This window comes from Homo sapiens, chromosome 9, assembly GCF_000001405.40.
Source record: "Homo sapiens chromosome 9, GRCh38.p14 Primary Assembly".
Classification (NCBI taxonomy): domain Eukaryota; kingdom Metazoa; phylum Chordata; class Mammalia; order Primates; family Hominidae; genus Homo; species Homo sapiens.
Genome location: NC_000009.12, coordinates 18684560 through 18699486, shown reverse-complemented (window position 1 = coordinate 18699486; position 14927 = coordinate 18684560). Strand labels below are relative to the sequence as shown.

Below are 14927 nucleotides of genomic sequence, written 5' to 3'. Positions count from 1 at the left end.
TGAGTCTGGTAGCACACACCTGTAGTCCCAGTGACCAGGAAGGCTAAGGTGGGAGGATCTCTTGCACCCAGGAGTTCAAGGTTACAGTGAGCTCTGATTGTGCCACCGCACTCTAGCCTGGGCTACAAAGAAAGACCCAGTCTCTCAAAAAAAAAAAAAAAAAAAAGTAAAAAACCCAGCAAAACACATGGAAAAGCTATATTTACAGGCATTTTCCAAGTAACAAACAGACTTTTTCTCATGACAATGACGCTCTTTTGGGTTGAGAGGCAGCTGGCCTCTCTGCAAGAATGCCTGAATGTCTTTCTTGCAGAAAATGCTCAGTGATGGAAGTTGGGTTAAAAAACAAAATGCTGACTGCATTAAAGAGCACATTTTCCTTTCAAAGAGACTTTATGCTAGAGGAAAATGTTGCAGGGGCTGAGTTCTCTGAAAGTTCCAATTCATCCAGAGACTACTGGCTCTTTCAAAGCCTGGGATCTTGATGTTTGAGCACTTTGTTGAAGTCATCTTGAAGTTCTGCCTTCTCTTTTCTCTGATATGGTTCTAGACAAGACATTATAAGGAGTCTTACTAACGGAGGGTCCCACTGACCATCAGGAGGCTGCTTTTCTTTAACAGTAAGAAAAAGGCCAGGGGGAAGATTGGTATCAGGTTCTAAGAACACAGGCCTTACTGTCTGCTATTCTTAACAAATCTAATCCTCATTCTGTCTCATTTCCAATGGCATTCAAAATAATTGACCATTGCTTGCAAGTACTTCTTCTTGAAATACTTCTTCCTCTTGAATTACATGACACCAAACTCTCTTGGTTTTCTTCTCTGGTTACTTCCTTCTCAGTCTCCTTTTCTAGGTCCTTCTATTCTCAAATTCAAAATATTGGCTGAGTGCAGTGGCACAGTCCAGGCATGGTGGCTTACTTTTGTAATTCCAGTACTTTGGGAGGCCGAGGCTGGCAGATCACTTGAGGTCGGGAGTTCAAGACCAGCCTGGCCAACATGGTGAAACCTCATCTCTACTAAAAATACAAAAAATTAGCCAGGCATGGTGGCATACACCTGCAAGCCCAAGCTACTTGGGAGACTGAGGCAGGAGAATCACTTGAACTCAGGAGGTGGAGGTTGCAGTGAGCCGAGATCATCATGCCACTGCACTCCAGCCTAGGTGACAGAGCAAGACTCTGTCTCAAAAAAAAAATTAAAATATTGCAGTGCCTCAGGACTTGGCTTTGTGCTATCTTCCAATGTGTTCATCAATGATTCCTAGTTTCAAATACCATCAGTGTACATGAAGCTTCTAAGAATTTAATCTCTATTCTAGAACTTTCTTCTCTGAAAAAAGTAAACATTAATTTAATTAATGTATTTATCAAAAACTTATTTAGTGTTTCTTATGTGCCAGGCACTACTCTAAGTGCTTTATAAATAAAAGTTATTAAATCTGAACAAGAACATTATCAGATAAAACTATTATTATTACCATTTAATAGACCGATGAGGAAACTGAAGCATAAGTTACACAACTAGTAAGGTTTTGTGCTCTTAACTACTTCACATTGCTATTTTTTCCTTCTTGACATTTTTGCTTTTAAGTTTCAAAGGCAGCTTCAATCTCCAACTTAAAATGTCCATAATGGAACTCCTGATTTCTCCCTTCAGTAACCCTATCGTCTTCCAATCTTCTCCACCACAGCAAAGGATTTTAATGGCTACCTAATTGCTCAAGTAAAAAATCAGGAGTTATTCTTGACCCCTCAATTTCCTTCACATCTCACTTTCAACTGATTGCCGAATTCTCTAAATTCTCCCTTGAAAATATATATAAACTCATTTACTTCTCTCCATTTCCATTACCACCACCTTAATATAGCAATAATAAGTGAACATTACACTTACATGCTTTATGCATTTTACATATACAACTCATTATGACATTGTTGGGAGATGGGTACTGTTGGAAACATTTTGAAATAGGCAAAAGAGATTACTGGTTGTCTTTTCAACGAACTGCTGGCATTTTCTAGCAAATTTCCAGGGGTGGTCTTGTTCTATGGAATTAGGAGCCTTTGATGGTCTTTGCTAGTCTGTTTTGCAACTCCATAGAGATAGAAGTTTCCCTGTAGAGGTCTGGTGGTGATACAGATGTTTCTTGTCCATAATAATATATGTATTTTTCTGTTCATGGCACTGCAAATGGTTTTGTCTGGTAGAAAATATATACTTTATTCTAAATCAAATTCTCATTTGAACTAGTTTTAACATCACATTGGCTTCCTCAATAATTTGTGAGTTAAATAAAATTTTTGGCCAGGCACGGTGGCTCACACCTGTAATCCCAGCACTTGGGGGGGCTGAGGTGGGCAGATCACGAGGTCAAGAGATGAAGACCATCCTGGCCAACATGGTGAAACCTCGTCTCTACTAAAAAAAAATACAAAAATTAGCTGGGTGTGGCGGCACACACCTGTAATCCCAGCTACTTGGGAGGCTGAGGCAGGAGAATGACTTGAACCCGGGAGGTGGAGTTTGCAGTGAGCTGAGATCACACCACTGCACTCCAGCCTGGCGACAAAGCAAGACTCCATCTCAAAATAATAATAATAATAATAATAATAATAATATTTTTGACATGTGATTATTTTATATTTTCATGAGACTTATGATTGTACCCTTTTGAAAATTATATTTTAATAGTACTACTTTCATCTCAATTTCTAGATGATAATATTGGAATACAATGATTTCTAAGGCCACACTGCTGAGTAAATGGTATTGTCAGGACTTGAACTCTGGCAGGCTGGCTCCACAGTTGGTGCTCTTCATCACCTCACTGTCCTGCCATGGGCTGCCACGCATACCTTGATCACTGAAGATAACATCGTCTTTCTGCTGGACTACCACAATAGCCACTGGTCTATTTTCTTCCTCTGTCACTCCTTACTGACCTGTTCTTAATGATGTAGCTAGGGGAATCTTAAAATGTAAAGCTTTTAATTGTCTCCTACTGTCCCCAGGTAAAAAAGACAAACTTTCTCCCAAGGTTATCTTGGTTATCTTACGGCATTTTCCATCTTCATCTCCCACCATTTTCCCCCAGTTACTACTCTCTCCAGCCACACTAATCTTCTTTTACTTCCTTCAATGTGGTCAATGCTTTCCTGACTCAAGATTCTGGCATGGGCGGGTTGCACCCTGGATCACCCTCTTCCCTTCTCTTTGTTTGGAATAACTCCCACTCATCTTTCAGGTCTCAGTATATATGTCCCTTCTCAAAGAGGGCTTTGCTGGCTGATATGGTTTGGATTTGTGTCCCTGTCCAAATCTCCTGTTGAATTGTAATCCCCAATATTGGAGGAGGGACCTGGTGGGAGGTGACTGGACCATGGGAGTGGATTTTCCCCTTGCTGTTCTTGTGATAGTGAGCTCTCAAGAGATCTGGTTGCTTAAAAGTGTGTATCACCTCTCCCTTTGCCCTCTTCCTCCTTCTCTGGCCATGTAAGATGTGCCTGCTTCCCCTTCTCTTCCATCATGATTGTAAATTTCCTGTGGCCTCCCCAGCCATGGCTCCTGTACCACCTGTGGAAATATGAATCAATTAAACCTCTTTTTAAAGAAATTACCCAGTACTGGTAGTCCTTTATAGCAATGTGAGAACAGACTAATACAGAAAATGGCTATCAAGAAGTGGGGCATTGCTATAAAGATAGCTGAAAATGTGGAAATGACTTTGGAACTGGGTAACTGGCAGAGGTTGGAAGAGTTTGAGAAGGCAGGAAGATCAGGGAAACTTTGGAATTTCCTAAAGACTTGGTAAATTGTTGTAATCAAAATGCTAGTGATATGGACAATGAAGTCCAGGGGGAGGTGGTCTCAGGCACCTCAGGCACTGTGGAACCTTGAACCTTGAACTTGAAAGTGATAATTTAGGGTAACTGGTGGAAGAAATTTCTAAGCAGCAAAGTGTTCCAGATGTGACCTGGATGCTTCTAACAGCATATAATCACATGCATGAGCAAAGACATAACCTGAAACTGGAACTTATATTTAAAAGGGAAGCAGATAATAAAAGTTTAGAAAATTTGCAGCCTATGTGGTAGAAAAGAAAAACCCATTTTCTGGAGAGGAATTCAAGCTAGCTACAGAAACTGGCATAAGTAAAAAAGAGCCAAATCTTAATAGCCAACACAATGGGGAAAATGCCCTTGAAGGCATTTCAGAGACCTTCACAGCAGCCCTTCCCAAATGTTAATAGCCAAGACAATGGGGAAAATGCCTCAAAGGCATTTCAGAGCTGTGGCAGTCCCTCCTATCACAGGCCTGGAGGCCTAGGAGGGAAGAATGGTTTTATGGGCCAGGCCCAGGGCTCCACTGCCCTGCACAACCTTGGGACAATGCTCCTTGTGTCCCAGCTGCTCCAGCTCCAGCCATGGCTAAAAGGGCTCCAGATATGTCTCAGGCATCTGCTCCAGAAGGTGCAAGCCATGAGCCTTGGAGGCTTCCACATAGTGTTAAGCCTCTGGGTGCACAGAGGGCAGGAGTTGAAGCTTGGGAGGCTCTGCCTAGATTTCAGAGGATGTACGGAAATGCTTGGAAATCAAGGCAGAAGTCTGTTGCAGGAACAGAGACCTCATGGAGAACCTCTACTAGAACAGTATGGATGGGAAATGTGGGATTGGAGGCCCCACACAGAGTCTCAACTGGGGCACTGCCTAGTGGAGCTGTGAGAAGAAGGCCACCATCCTGCAGACCCCAGAATGGTAGATCCACTGACAGCTTGCACCATGAACCTAGAAAAGCTGCAGGCACTCAACTTCATAGGGGTGGAGATGCCCAAGGCCTTTGGAGCCCACCCCTTGCATCAGTGTGGCCCGGATGTGACACATGGAGTCAAAGGAGATCATTTTGGAGCTTTAAGATTTAATGACCGCCCTGCTGGGTTTCTGACTTGCACGGGGTCTGTAACCCCTTTGTTTGGGCTAATTTCTCCCGTTTAGAATGCGTGTATTTACCCAATGCCTGTACCTCCATTGTATCCTGGAAGTAACTAACTTGTTTTTTATTTTACAGGCTCATAGGAAGAAGGGATTTGCCTTGTCTCAGATGAGATTTTGGACTGTGGACTTTTGAGTTAATGCCGAAGTGAGTTAAGAATTGGGAGATTGTTGAGAAGGGATGATTGTATTTTGCAACATGAGAAGGGCATGAGATTTGGGAGGGGCCAGGGGCAGGATGATATGGCTCAGATTTGTGTCCTTGCCCAAATCTCCTGTCAAATTATAATCCCCAGTGTTGGAGGAGGGGGCTGGGGAAGGTGATTACATCATGGGGACAGATTTCTCCCTTGCTGTTCTCGTGATGGTGAGTTCTCACGAGATCTGGTTGTTTAAAATTGTGTAGCACTTCCTCCTTTGCCCTCTTCCTCCTTGTCTAGCCATGTAAGATGTGCCTGCTTCCCCTTCTCCTTCTGCCATGATTATAAGTTTCCTGAGACCTCCCCAGCTCTGCTTCCTGCACAGCCTGTGGAACTGTGAGTCAATGAAACCTCTTTTACTTATAAATTGCCAAGTCTCAGACAGCTCTTTACAGCAATGTGAGAAGAGACTAATGCACTGACCCTCAGACCTAATAGGTCCCCTATTAACATCTTTGAGCATCTTTCCATTTTCTTAGAACAGCTACCAGTCTTTGATAATCACAATGCAAATCTTTATGTAATAATTGTCCCCCTCACTTGACCAAATCTCTATGAAGGTAGAACTTCACATAATAGCAGCTCAATAAATAATTTTTCAAAGAAATAAATGGATTGATAAACAGAAGGATAAGAGTTAATATTATGATTGACTTGGTACTGTGCTTATTCTTAGGGCCAAAGACTGAAACCAGGCTAGATAAAGAGGCAACAGCCAAAAGACTCTAAGAAACTAAGTCATATTTTTCTGTTCTAGGCATTGGCATGAGGAAATACAAACCTCTTCCTATTGTAGGAGTTTCATATGGCTATAGAAACCATAAGAAAACTCCTACAGCAGGAAAAGGTTAGAGTTACTATACCCAAACTGAGCAGCCACAGTGGGCTTATTCATTTATATTTCTTATAGTTATACTTATGCAGTATATGCCGGCCGAATTTCATCTTGATGGGTTGTTAGATAGTCATGTAGCTTGAGGTAAGTTGAAATTCTGTGTCTATCACACTTCAGTGAAATATCAATAAAATGTCATTTTGAAGAATAAAAAAATTAAGGGGCAGCTTTGAGACAGATGCTGACTTCAATAATTTTTACAGGACTCTGGTCAAACACTGCCTTATCATGCCATCAGCTACTCAGCAGTGAAGCGCTGGAGCATTTTGGAACTGTTCCTAGGTTAGAGAAACCCAAAGGAGAGCTTTTGTCTTTTTTGTCTACTTTTTAAAACTCAACATCCATAAAATTTTGGGAAAAAAGGAAGAAAGACTACTCACTCCACGTAGCAGATACAAATAAAGCCAAATTATTCCTTTCAGAAATGAAAAGTGAGGATATGACACTTGTTTCAGACCATCTTTCTTTCTCTTTGCTTTTCTGATCTAAATGAACAGAAAATGATTTGAAAATTTGCTTTTCCTTGCAAATAGTCTACTTAAAAGGCCACATCCCAGGGACTCAGATGCCATCACAGCTTACAATGCTATCACTGCATTTGTAGTTCTCAGCTTAATATTGGAATGTAGTTTAAATGCATAACATTTTCCCTGACTTTGATAAAGATTTAAAATATTGGAAACTCAATACTTTTCATGTACCATTTCTTCTTTACATGGAATGAAATTAGTTTATCTTGTAATTTTGTGAGGTTTCTTTCCCTTAATTCAACATGTTTGGCAAAGCTTTCCAATGAAAAGTTCAGTTCATTAAAAATGACCTTAATGGACTTAACATATATTGGTGGTGACAGGGTGCATACTTTATTTTGGCACACAAGGATCCCATTAATTTGTCTTTGTCACTCTCTAGGGCTCTGCTAAGCGACAGTTCAGATTTAGCTTTCTGAAAGTAGCCACAGAACGAGCAACTGCGGTGACAGAGGGAGGGACTGATAAATTTAGAACTTCTTGGTTTGCAATCAAGGAATGACTACAAAAAAACGGCTCTATCTGCTCTCTTGAGTTTATTATTGATTCTGCTGTTTCTGCGCATGGAGATCAAGTATATTTAACTCAGAGTAGAGAGAGGTTGCTTTTTCACCCAGGCAGCTTCTGAACTTTTCTTACTCATTTTTGTAATTACTCATAAATCTCTTTTTATTTAAATAAAGATTTGTCCCTTAAAAATAAACTCTGGGCTAAATTAAAAGTATGGTGCTTATAAGTGAGTCTTCAAAGACCCTCAGAAGTGTAGACGAAGAAAGGAAGTAAGGTGGTGTAAGCTGGGAACCCACTAGCTGAGTTTTGAGTTAAATATTGTTGTTCTCTCTCAAATGCCATTAGATACAAGATGTATGAGGCAGATACAACAGCTGCCTCAATTTCTCCATTTGTATTAAGTGGTTATTAGACATCTTAACTCCCTTAAAGATTCTCTAGGAAAATGAATGATGCTAGAAAAGGCCTAATCACAACAAAAATTTATATACATAGCACTTCCTGCATACCAGGTACTTTACACAGATTAACTTAAACCTCAGAAGAACCCTATGAGGTAGTGATTACCTCACTTCACAGGTGATAAATGGAGGCATATGGGGTTAAATGACTTTCCCAAGGTCAAGATTGAAACACAAGCTCTCTGTCCCTGGGGCCCACACTTTTAGTCACTGTGCAGAGCTGTCCTGCATGGAGGTATGATCAAAAATTAACTTGATTTTTACTCTGATTCCAGCAGGATTGTATCTTTGTCAGGGCATACAAATACAGAGACTCACCCCTCACCAACTCACCCAGTTGGCAGCTTAATGCATCTGAAAAAAATCAATTTTAGGAAATTATCTGTAGTTTCTATAGCCTGTTTTTAACATATAGGTAGGAATAACTGAGGTACACATAATGATACAAAATATCTGATCACTTGCTATGTAAAAAGATCATATCTCTTTCCCCAAGTACTAGTTCTGGAATCAAAGCCAGACTCAAATCAGTTTGATCATAATCTGTCAAACATCGGTTCATATCAACATTCCCCTCAAACCCTTTCAATGTATACATTGTATTCTTTTATCACTTAGTTCTTATCTTTATGCATTACCATGTAGTAGCTTAACTATCTGATATTTTATCTTAGAGGTAGATGCAATTCTGATATATGCTAGTAGAGAATTTGGGAATTCAATAAATAAGTCTCCTGAACTCCTTTTTAAATCAGTAACTCTCTCATGATATGATATCCAAACATCAAATTGCATTTCTTAAAGACAGCTAGCTCATTTCTTCAGTCTGTGGATAGACAACCAGTACTCAACACTTTGGTCACAATCCTATTGCTCTTGTGATAAGAATGCACTAACAGTTTCTTGAGGGCAAAGACTGGTTATTTTTGCAATACCTGCACCTGGTACATAGCATGGCATAGGGCAAGGGATTTATAGGTAAGTTTAGCTTCCATCATTAGGAGGTGTGAACAATTTAGCAAGTCTAGTGGCTCTCTAAAGTCATCTAGAATATGGAATTAGCCCAAGAAATTATATTAAGCACTTTGCTGCTGCAGAGAATAGGGAAGAGGCCAGAAAGGAAGGTGTTGGAAGTGAGAGAAGTCAAGACTATTGGAGGGGAAGGGTTGATGCTGTCTGGCCAGTGTGAGGCTTTACCTCTACCATATGCCAGTTTTCAAAATTAAGTGCTCTTTAATCTTATAATTCTAATGCTCAACTCTTTGCTGCTTGAACATTCTTTTTATTGATTGAAAGATCTGCAAACAGTATTTAAATTTCCTGATCTTAGATTTCTTAAGAATCATGAATCATCTCACCTGTTTCTACACATAAACAAGATATTCATTGTTACTTTTCTGTGGCCTGAGATTCATGAAGAGAATATAATTCAGGTACCTTATATTTAGAATATAAATAGTAACACTATATGGACCCATAAATGATGTTTGGTTCACTACATTTTGAGGAGGGATATAAAAACACATGTCACACAATTAAAATTTCTAGCCACTTAAAAAATATGAATTCACATTCTTAACCACTGAGTTAAGCCATCTACATTCTTAGACTACTTATTGGGTATAAATATGGACTAATGAAAACATATGCTTAAATATTATATCTTTAAGTACTATTTTCAACAAGATAAACAAGGCATTTAATGACTACAGAATCACCATGGTGACTCTTATTGGTTTTTCTATATGCATCTAATTCCTTCTGGGTTCTGTTCACAGATGCATGACAGGAATTTCCCTTTGCTTCTTATTGAATAAACCCCATTGCTAAGCTGATGCCATCTGGCATCCAGATATTACTGCTGCCTTCTGCTTACTTACTTTTCTTCCTCTTTGTCTTCTTTTTTGTAATGGCTCACAACAAGATTATTTATGGCAATACATTTAAGCCCTGACTATTTTGTTGAAGCACAAACATAGTCTCCTAACCATGCAAAGCCGTTGACTGAAAATCTAATAAGATAACTCAAGATCTTTTAAAAAGCAAGATCAAGGCACAAGGACTACCCAATCCTACCTTTGAAAAAATGGCATCATTAAGGCTTTCCACCTGGCGAATGCCAGCTATTTAACAAGGGAATATCTGGATAAAATTGCTATCTTGGCCACACTGTGTCCAAAGCAACTGGCATATCCCATTGCTTCTTCTGAGCCATTGAAGAACTACGGCAACTGAAATATATCTGGAAGAACCTGGCTTCCCTAAGTGCCGCACTGGTCCTCACTTTCTCTACCTGGGATGCCTTGTTTTGGAGATCAGGAAGAGCACCTAAAGCATCCAGACTATACCTTTTTTTCTTTTTTCTTTTTCCTTTTTTTTAAAAAATATGAGTCCCTTAGCAAATTACACCTTCTAGGGCATTAGGTGGCCTGTTAGTTGCCTGAAGGAGTTAAGGAAATGAACAATTTCCTTCCTGTCCCAAGTCAGAACAGGCTTTTTAAGGTAAGCTGAATGACTTCCTATCCAACAACATTTCTTTAAATGTCCTAGGGATCATCATTGTATCATTTTTCCTCAAGAAATTAAGCTGTCAGAAGGGTCACACTATGTACTTGCGTGGGTGATACATGTCAGGTGATAGTGATGTTTATGCATACATCTCAACCAAGACTAAAACTACGGTATAAAAATAAGAGATGGGAAACCTGTCAGTAATTTTTTTAGCTTCCACCTGATTAACAAATATAATTGTACTACCACTTTGTAGTTCCAATTCCCCACCAAATAAATGTACACTTTTGAGAGTTTCCAAAAAGACCTAGAAAGCTATTCCTATATATTTTTCCATGAAAGCAACCAGATGGGCTCAATCTGGCATTTAAATGATGTATCCTAAATCTAACAACACTCTCAACAGCTGGAGGGAAATTCGAAATGACATAGTTTGAACTTTAACAGAAGATAATTTTATCAGTATTTTTCCCATCCCCCCTTTTCTAGTACTAGCACGGCACTGCTATTACCCTCGGAAAAATGGAACTCTCCCAGAGTCTTAGTAATTGTAGAAGTCTACCTCAACAGTCAGAGGCATTTGAACCAGGCAACTCCATCTCAAATAGGCACTGGGTAAAATGAGGCTGAGACTGGCTGGGCTGCATTCCCAGGAGATTAGGCATTCTTAGTCACAGTCATATATATATATATATATATTTTTTTTTTTTTTTTTTTTTTTTTTTTTTTGAAATGCTCTGTTACCCAGGCTGGAGTTTGGTGGCAAGATCTCAGCTCACTGCAGCCTCCGCCTCCCAGGCTCAAGCAACCCTCCAGCCGCAGACTCCTGAGTAGCTGCGAATATAGGCACACACCACCATGCCTGGCTAAGTTTTCTGAGTTTTAGTAGAGACGAGGTCTTGCTATGTTGCCCAGGCTGGTCTTAAATTCCTCATGTTGTACATACCTAGAAAATATATTCGGCTGGGTGTGGTGGCTCATGCCTGTAATCCCAGCACTTTGGGAGGCTGAGGTGGGTGGATCACCTGAGGTCAGGAGTTCAAAACAGCCTGGCCAACATGGTGAAACCCTGTCTCTTATTTACTAAAAATACAAAAATTAGCTGGGCATGGTGGTGGGCACCTGTAATCCCAGCTATGCGGGAGGCTGAGGCATGAGAATAGCTTGAACCCAGGAGGTAGAGATTGCAGTGAGCCGAGATCACGCCATTGCATTCCAGCCTGGGCGACAAGAGTGAGACTACGTTTCTATATATATATATATATATATACATACATACATATATGTATTCATCACAATATTCCTACCTTTCTACCACATGAATCAGATGTGTCATAACAAACCAATCTGTTGTTGAGGGAAAAAAAATCAACATGTAGAAGTATTTTTGAGTTGAAGATTCAGCTTTATATAATGAATCTATCTACATATTACCACCATGTGAGCCAATCTCCATATTTATTTCAGTGGTTCTATGAAATTGATATCTGGATTTATATCTTGTGCATGGTGTTTACTGCAACCACAATGTTGGCTGTTGGTACATTCTTCTGGTCTATAACGTGTTATTTATTTCTTGGCAATTCAGTTTTTAGTCTTTTATCATTGTTTTCTTCTAAACATCTTAAAGCGGTTACTTCCCAACATATGTTTGGCCTGAGTGCTAACCAATCTTGTCCTTACATTTTGGGTTTACTAAAAGTATCTAACATCGAACAAGGTTATCTTCATAAGCTGAAGACATTCATCTGGTGATTTTTCTGTATTACATAATGAGATAGGCTGGTGATAATATTTTCACTTTCCATATACGGAAATAAATGATATTTACTGCTTTACCACAGAACTCTCCAATGTTAGCTGGAGCCAAAGCAAGAGATAATAGTTGTGGACCACTGTTCTTGCCTCACTGTAGCAGTTCAGAAGTGACAGCCACAGCTTCTAAACATTACCATTTAATTTAAGCAGTGTGAGTCTCCTTGGTGGGGGGAAGGAATGACTTGCTGACAGTTGATCATTTTTTCAATATGCTTCAGAGAGTAATTATAGGTTGTTACATACATTTAGAAACGGTCTATGTGGTTTAAGAAAAGATGGAATTAAGGCCATGCAACATTATGTTTTTTAAATTCAAAATCAATATAGATAAAAAAAAGTGACACTTAGGACGTTTCTTAGGGTGCAGTGCACTAAACACATAAAGTGTATTAAAATGTAGAAACCATATACCTTTCATTACATTATTCTACAGCTGTCATTTATTTTATTTTGGTATAAAAGTAATTATTATTCTGAGCACAATAGTATACATTTCCCTTACCCTGCACCAGCACTCCAATTACAATCTACTCCAATTCAGATTAATCATGCCAAGATGGCAATTTCATTACACTAAGAGTAAATTTTAATAGTTTAATATATGGCTATACTTTCAATGGCTAAAACTTTTTTAACTACTTTAAAGATTTTATTAAGATTAAAGTTAAACGTAATGCATCTTAATCGGATCTTTAGTAGAAAATATTCATGACAAAATATGGTTGACGATGGTCTATGTAATGCTTCTGTGGATGCATTAAACTCCACTGATAGCTTTCATCTGAAAGGCATCTAATAATGGGAAGATGCTTATCGATGTAAGATGTTTCCATTTACTTTCAATTTTGTATTATTATTTACCATCAGCCAGAACGCAAGATTATACATAGGATTACGCTTTAGTCCAAGTGACAAAATACAGTGTACAAGGGGAAAAGAGTTTATTTAGGTAAAATAAAACATAACTGGTTTCAAATAGATTTAACCCAATAGGATATAAAAGGAGTCACCAGCTCTAATTACATAGCATCTTTCTGTGTCTTAAATAGGACCTTACTGGATTAAGAAGTTATTAATGCCCCCCTAAAAAGAACTGCTTATTTACTCCTCAGCAACAAAAAGGCCTGTCAAATCAGGTACTGGCAGAGGAGAAGCAAAAAATTGTAAGCCTTTATATTTTCATTCCAAGGTTACACTGTGATCTTTAATCACTCCCTTTCCTCCAAAGTTCTGCAGTGGTTAGTTGCTTTTTCTCAAAGAAGTCAAAAAGTTTGCTGTAGTAACTTTACAGTACAGAAATAATTTATGTTTGCTTAATTATCCTTCTAAGTAAAAATATGTGTTTTCCCGGGCCAGGCGCTGTGGCTCACGCCTGCAATCCCAGTACTTTGGGAGGCTGAGGCAGGCGGATTGCTTGAGGTCAGGAGTTTGAGACCAGCCTGGGAAACATGGAGAACCCCAGTCTCTGCAAAAAAAATTAAAAACATAGCCTGGTGTGGTGGCCTGCACCTGTAGTCCCAGCTACTCGGTAGGCTGAGGTGAGAGAATTCATTGAGCCTGGCAGGTGAAAGCTGCAGTGAGTTATGACCGTGCCACTACATCCATGCCCGGGTGACAGAGTGAGACCCTATCTCAAAAAAAAAAAATAGGGAAAAAAAGTGTTTTCTAATGTGTGCATCCTTTTGGTGTATGTGAAATCAAATGACAGAATATAGTTTCTTTACAAGTGACCTTTGGTTATGGTACAAATCTATATTTTGGATTTCTTGTGCACTCAGGAACACAGTTGTGTTCTGGCAAACCACATCAGATTTAGATTCAAACAGAATGAATCTGAGAAAATTCTAAATTGCATTTAAATAGGTTGCAACGTTAATTTATATCTCCAGTAAAATTTGGAAATCATTTTATATCCTACATGCTCCACTATTAACTCTTGGAGGGTGGATGAGTTATCTTAAGTGCCAGTGAATAGCACAGAGCTTAGAACTTACATTAAATGAATTAATTTAGAAAATTTTTCAACCTGAGAAATTTCTTGGGTCATAGATGAAATTTTTCAATCAATTGTATCCCCTCGTTTGTAAAAGTGATGTAGCAGCTATGCCTATCAGTGTTTTCTAATGAAATCAATACATAAACTTATCAATCATCCACTTAATCTACTTTTGTCTCTCCTATTTGTTTCCTCTTCTGAAGACACTGGCAAATCTGGGCCTCACGGTTTTACAGATTCCATGGACTTGATAAAATTGAGTAGACATGGGACATAATCAAGTGGGGCAAATAAGCAGGTCCATCCCTGATACCAATCCCAGGAAGAAAGGGAAAAGAAAAGTTAATGAACTTCCTTTGCCCTCAGGTATACTTTACTTGCTCTTTAATTTTTGTGACTGTATTGCAAAACTGGGAGAGTGTGAAAAGCAGCTCAGACTTTGGCATCAAATCTATGTTATATCATCAGCTGCAGCCTGGGCCTTCTCACCTTTGGCCCCTTGCGCAGAGAAGAGAGGAGGTCAGATTTTGGAGAAGAGGGTAAGCACTACACCTTCATTTTCTTACTTTAGGCAAAACAGAAGTATTTACAATGCAATCATCAGCTTTGACAAACACTTTTTGAAACTAATCAATCTTTAATTTGAGAGCCAAAAAGCTTTGGTGAGATGATTACACTTAGTTCAGAACCCATGAAAGCTACAACCAGTGAGACACTGCTTTCTTTAAACAAAACAGTTTCAAATATAGAACAGTCTGTGCTTTTACAACTTACGAGGGCTCCTCTGACACAGCAGCTCCTTCTTCTAGCTCTTGAGCTTGTTTGAACCATGGCAACTTGGCCTCGACTGGAAGTTTCTCTGAGAATTCAGTGCATGCACATACAAAAGAAGAGGTTAGAACCAATCTGGGATTTTAGGAAAATTCCTTATTCTCCTCACCAAGAAGTTACTACGTTGACCAACACGAATAAGTTTTTGGGTAAATTGCTGCCTCTGATGATGGTTATATCTAGA

The 14927-nt window shown here is 39.1% G+C and overlaps 1 protein-coding gene and 1 long non-coding RNA gene across 18 annotated transcripts in view; one reads left to right on the top strand and one right to left on the bottom strand.

Moving 5' to 3' along the window:
* ADAMTSL1 (ADAMTS like 1) overlaps window positions 1-14927 on the bottom strand; it is a 1004318-nt gene that overhangs the window by 211464 nt on the left and 777927 nt on the right. For 16 of the 17 annotated variants that reach the window (XM_011518064.4, XM_017015312.3, XM_011518063.3 and 13 more), the window contains one exon: window positions 14687-14771. In XM_011518064.4, coding sequence (XP_011516366.1) covers window positions 14687-14771 — 85 coding nt within the window. Of the gene's footprint in view, window positions 1-14529; window positions 14772-14927 lie in introns of those variants that run through there. The other variant, NM_052866.5, reaches the window with a different exon arrangement.
* LOC102724102 (uncharacterized) overlaps window positions 5101-14927 on the top strand; it is a 37432-nt gene continuing 27605 nt past the window's right edge. The window contains exon 1 of the long non-coding RNA XR_428448.4: window positions 5101-5139. This is a non-coding gene — a long non-coding RNA (uncharacterized LOC102724102). The remainder of the gene's footprint in view (window positions 5140-14927) is intronic.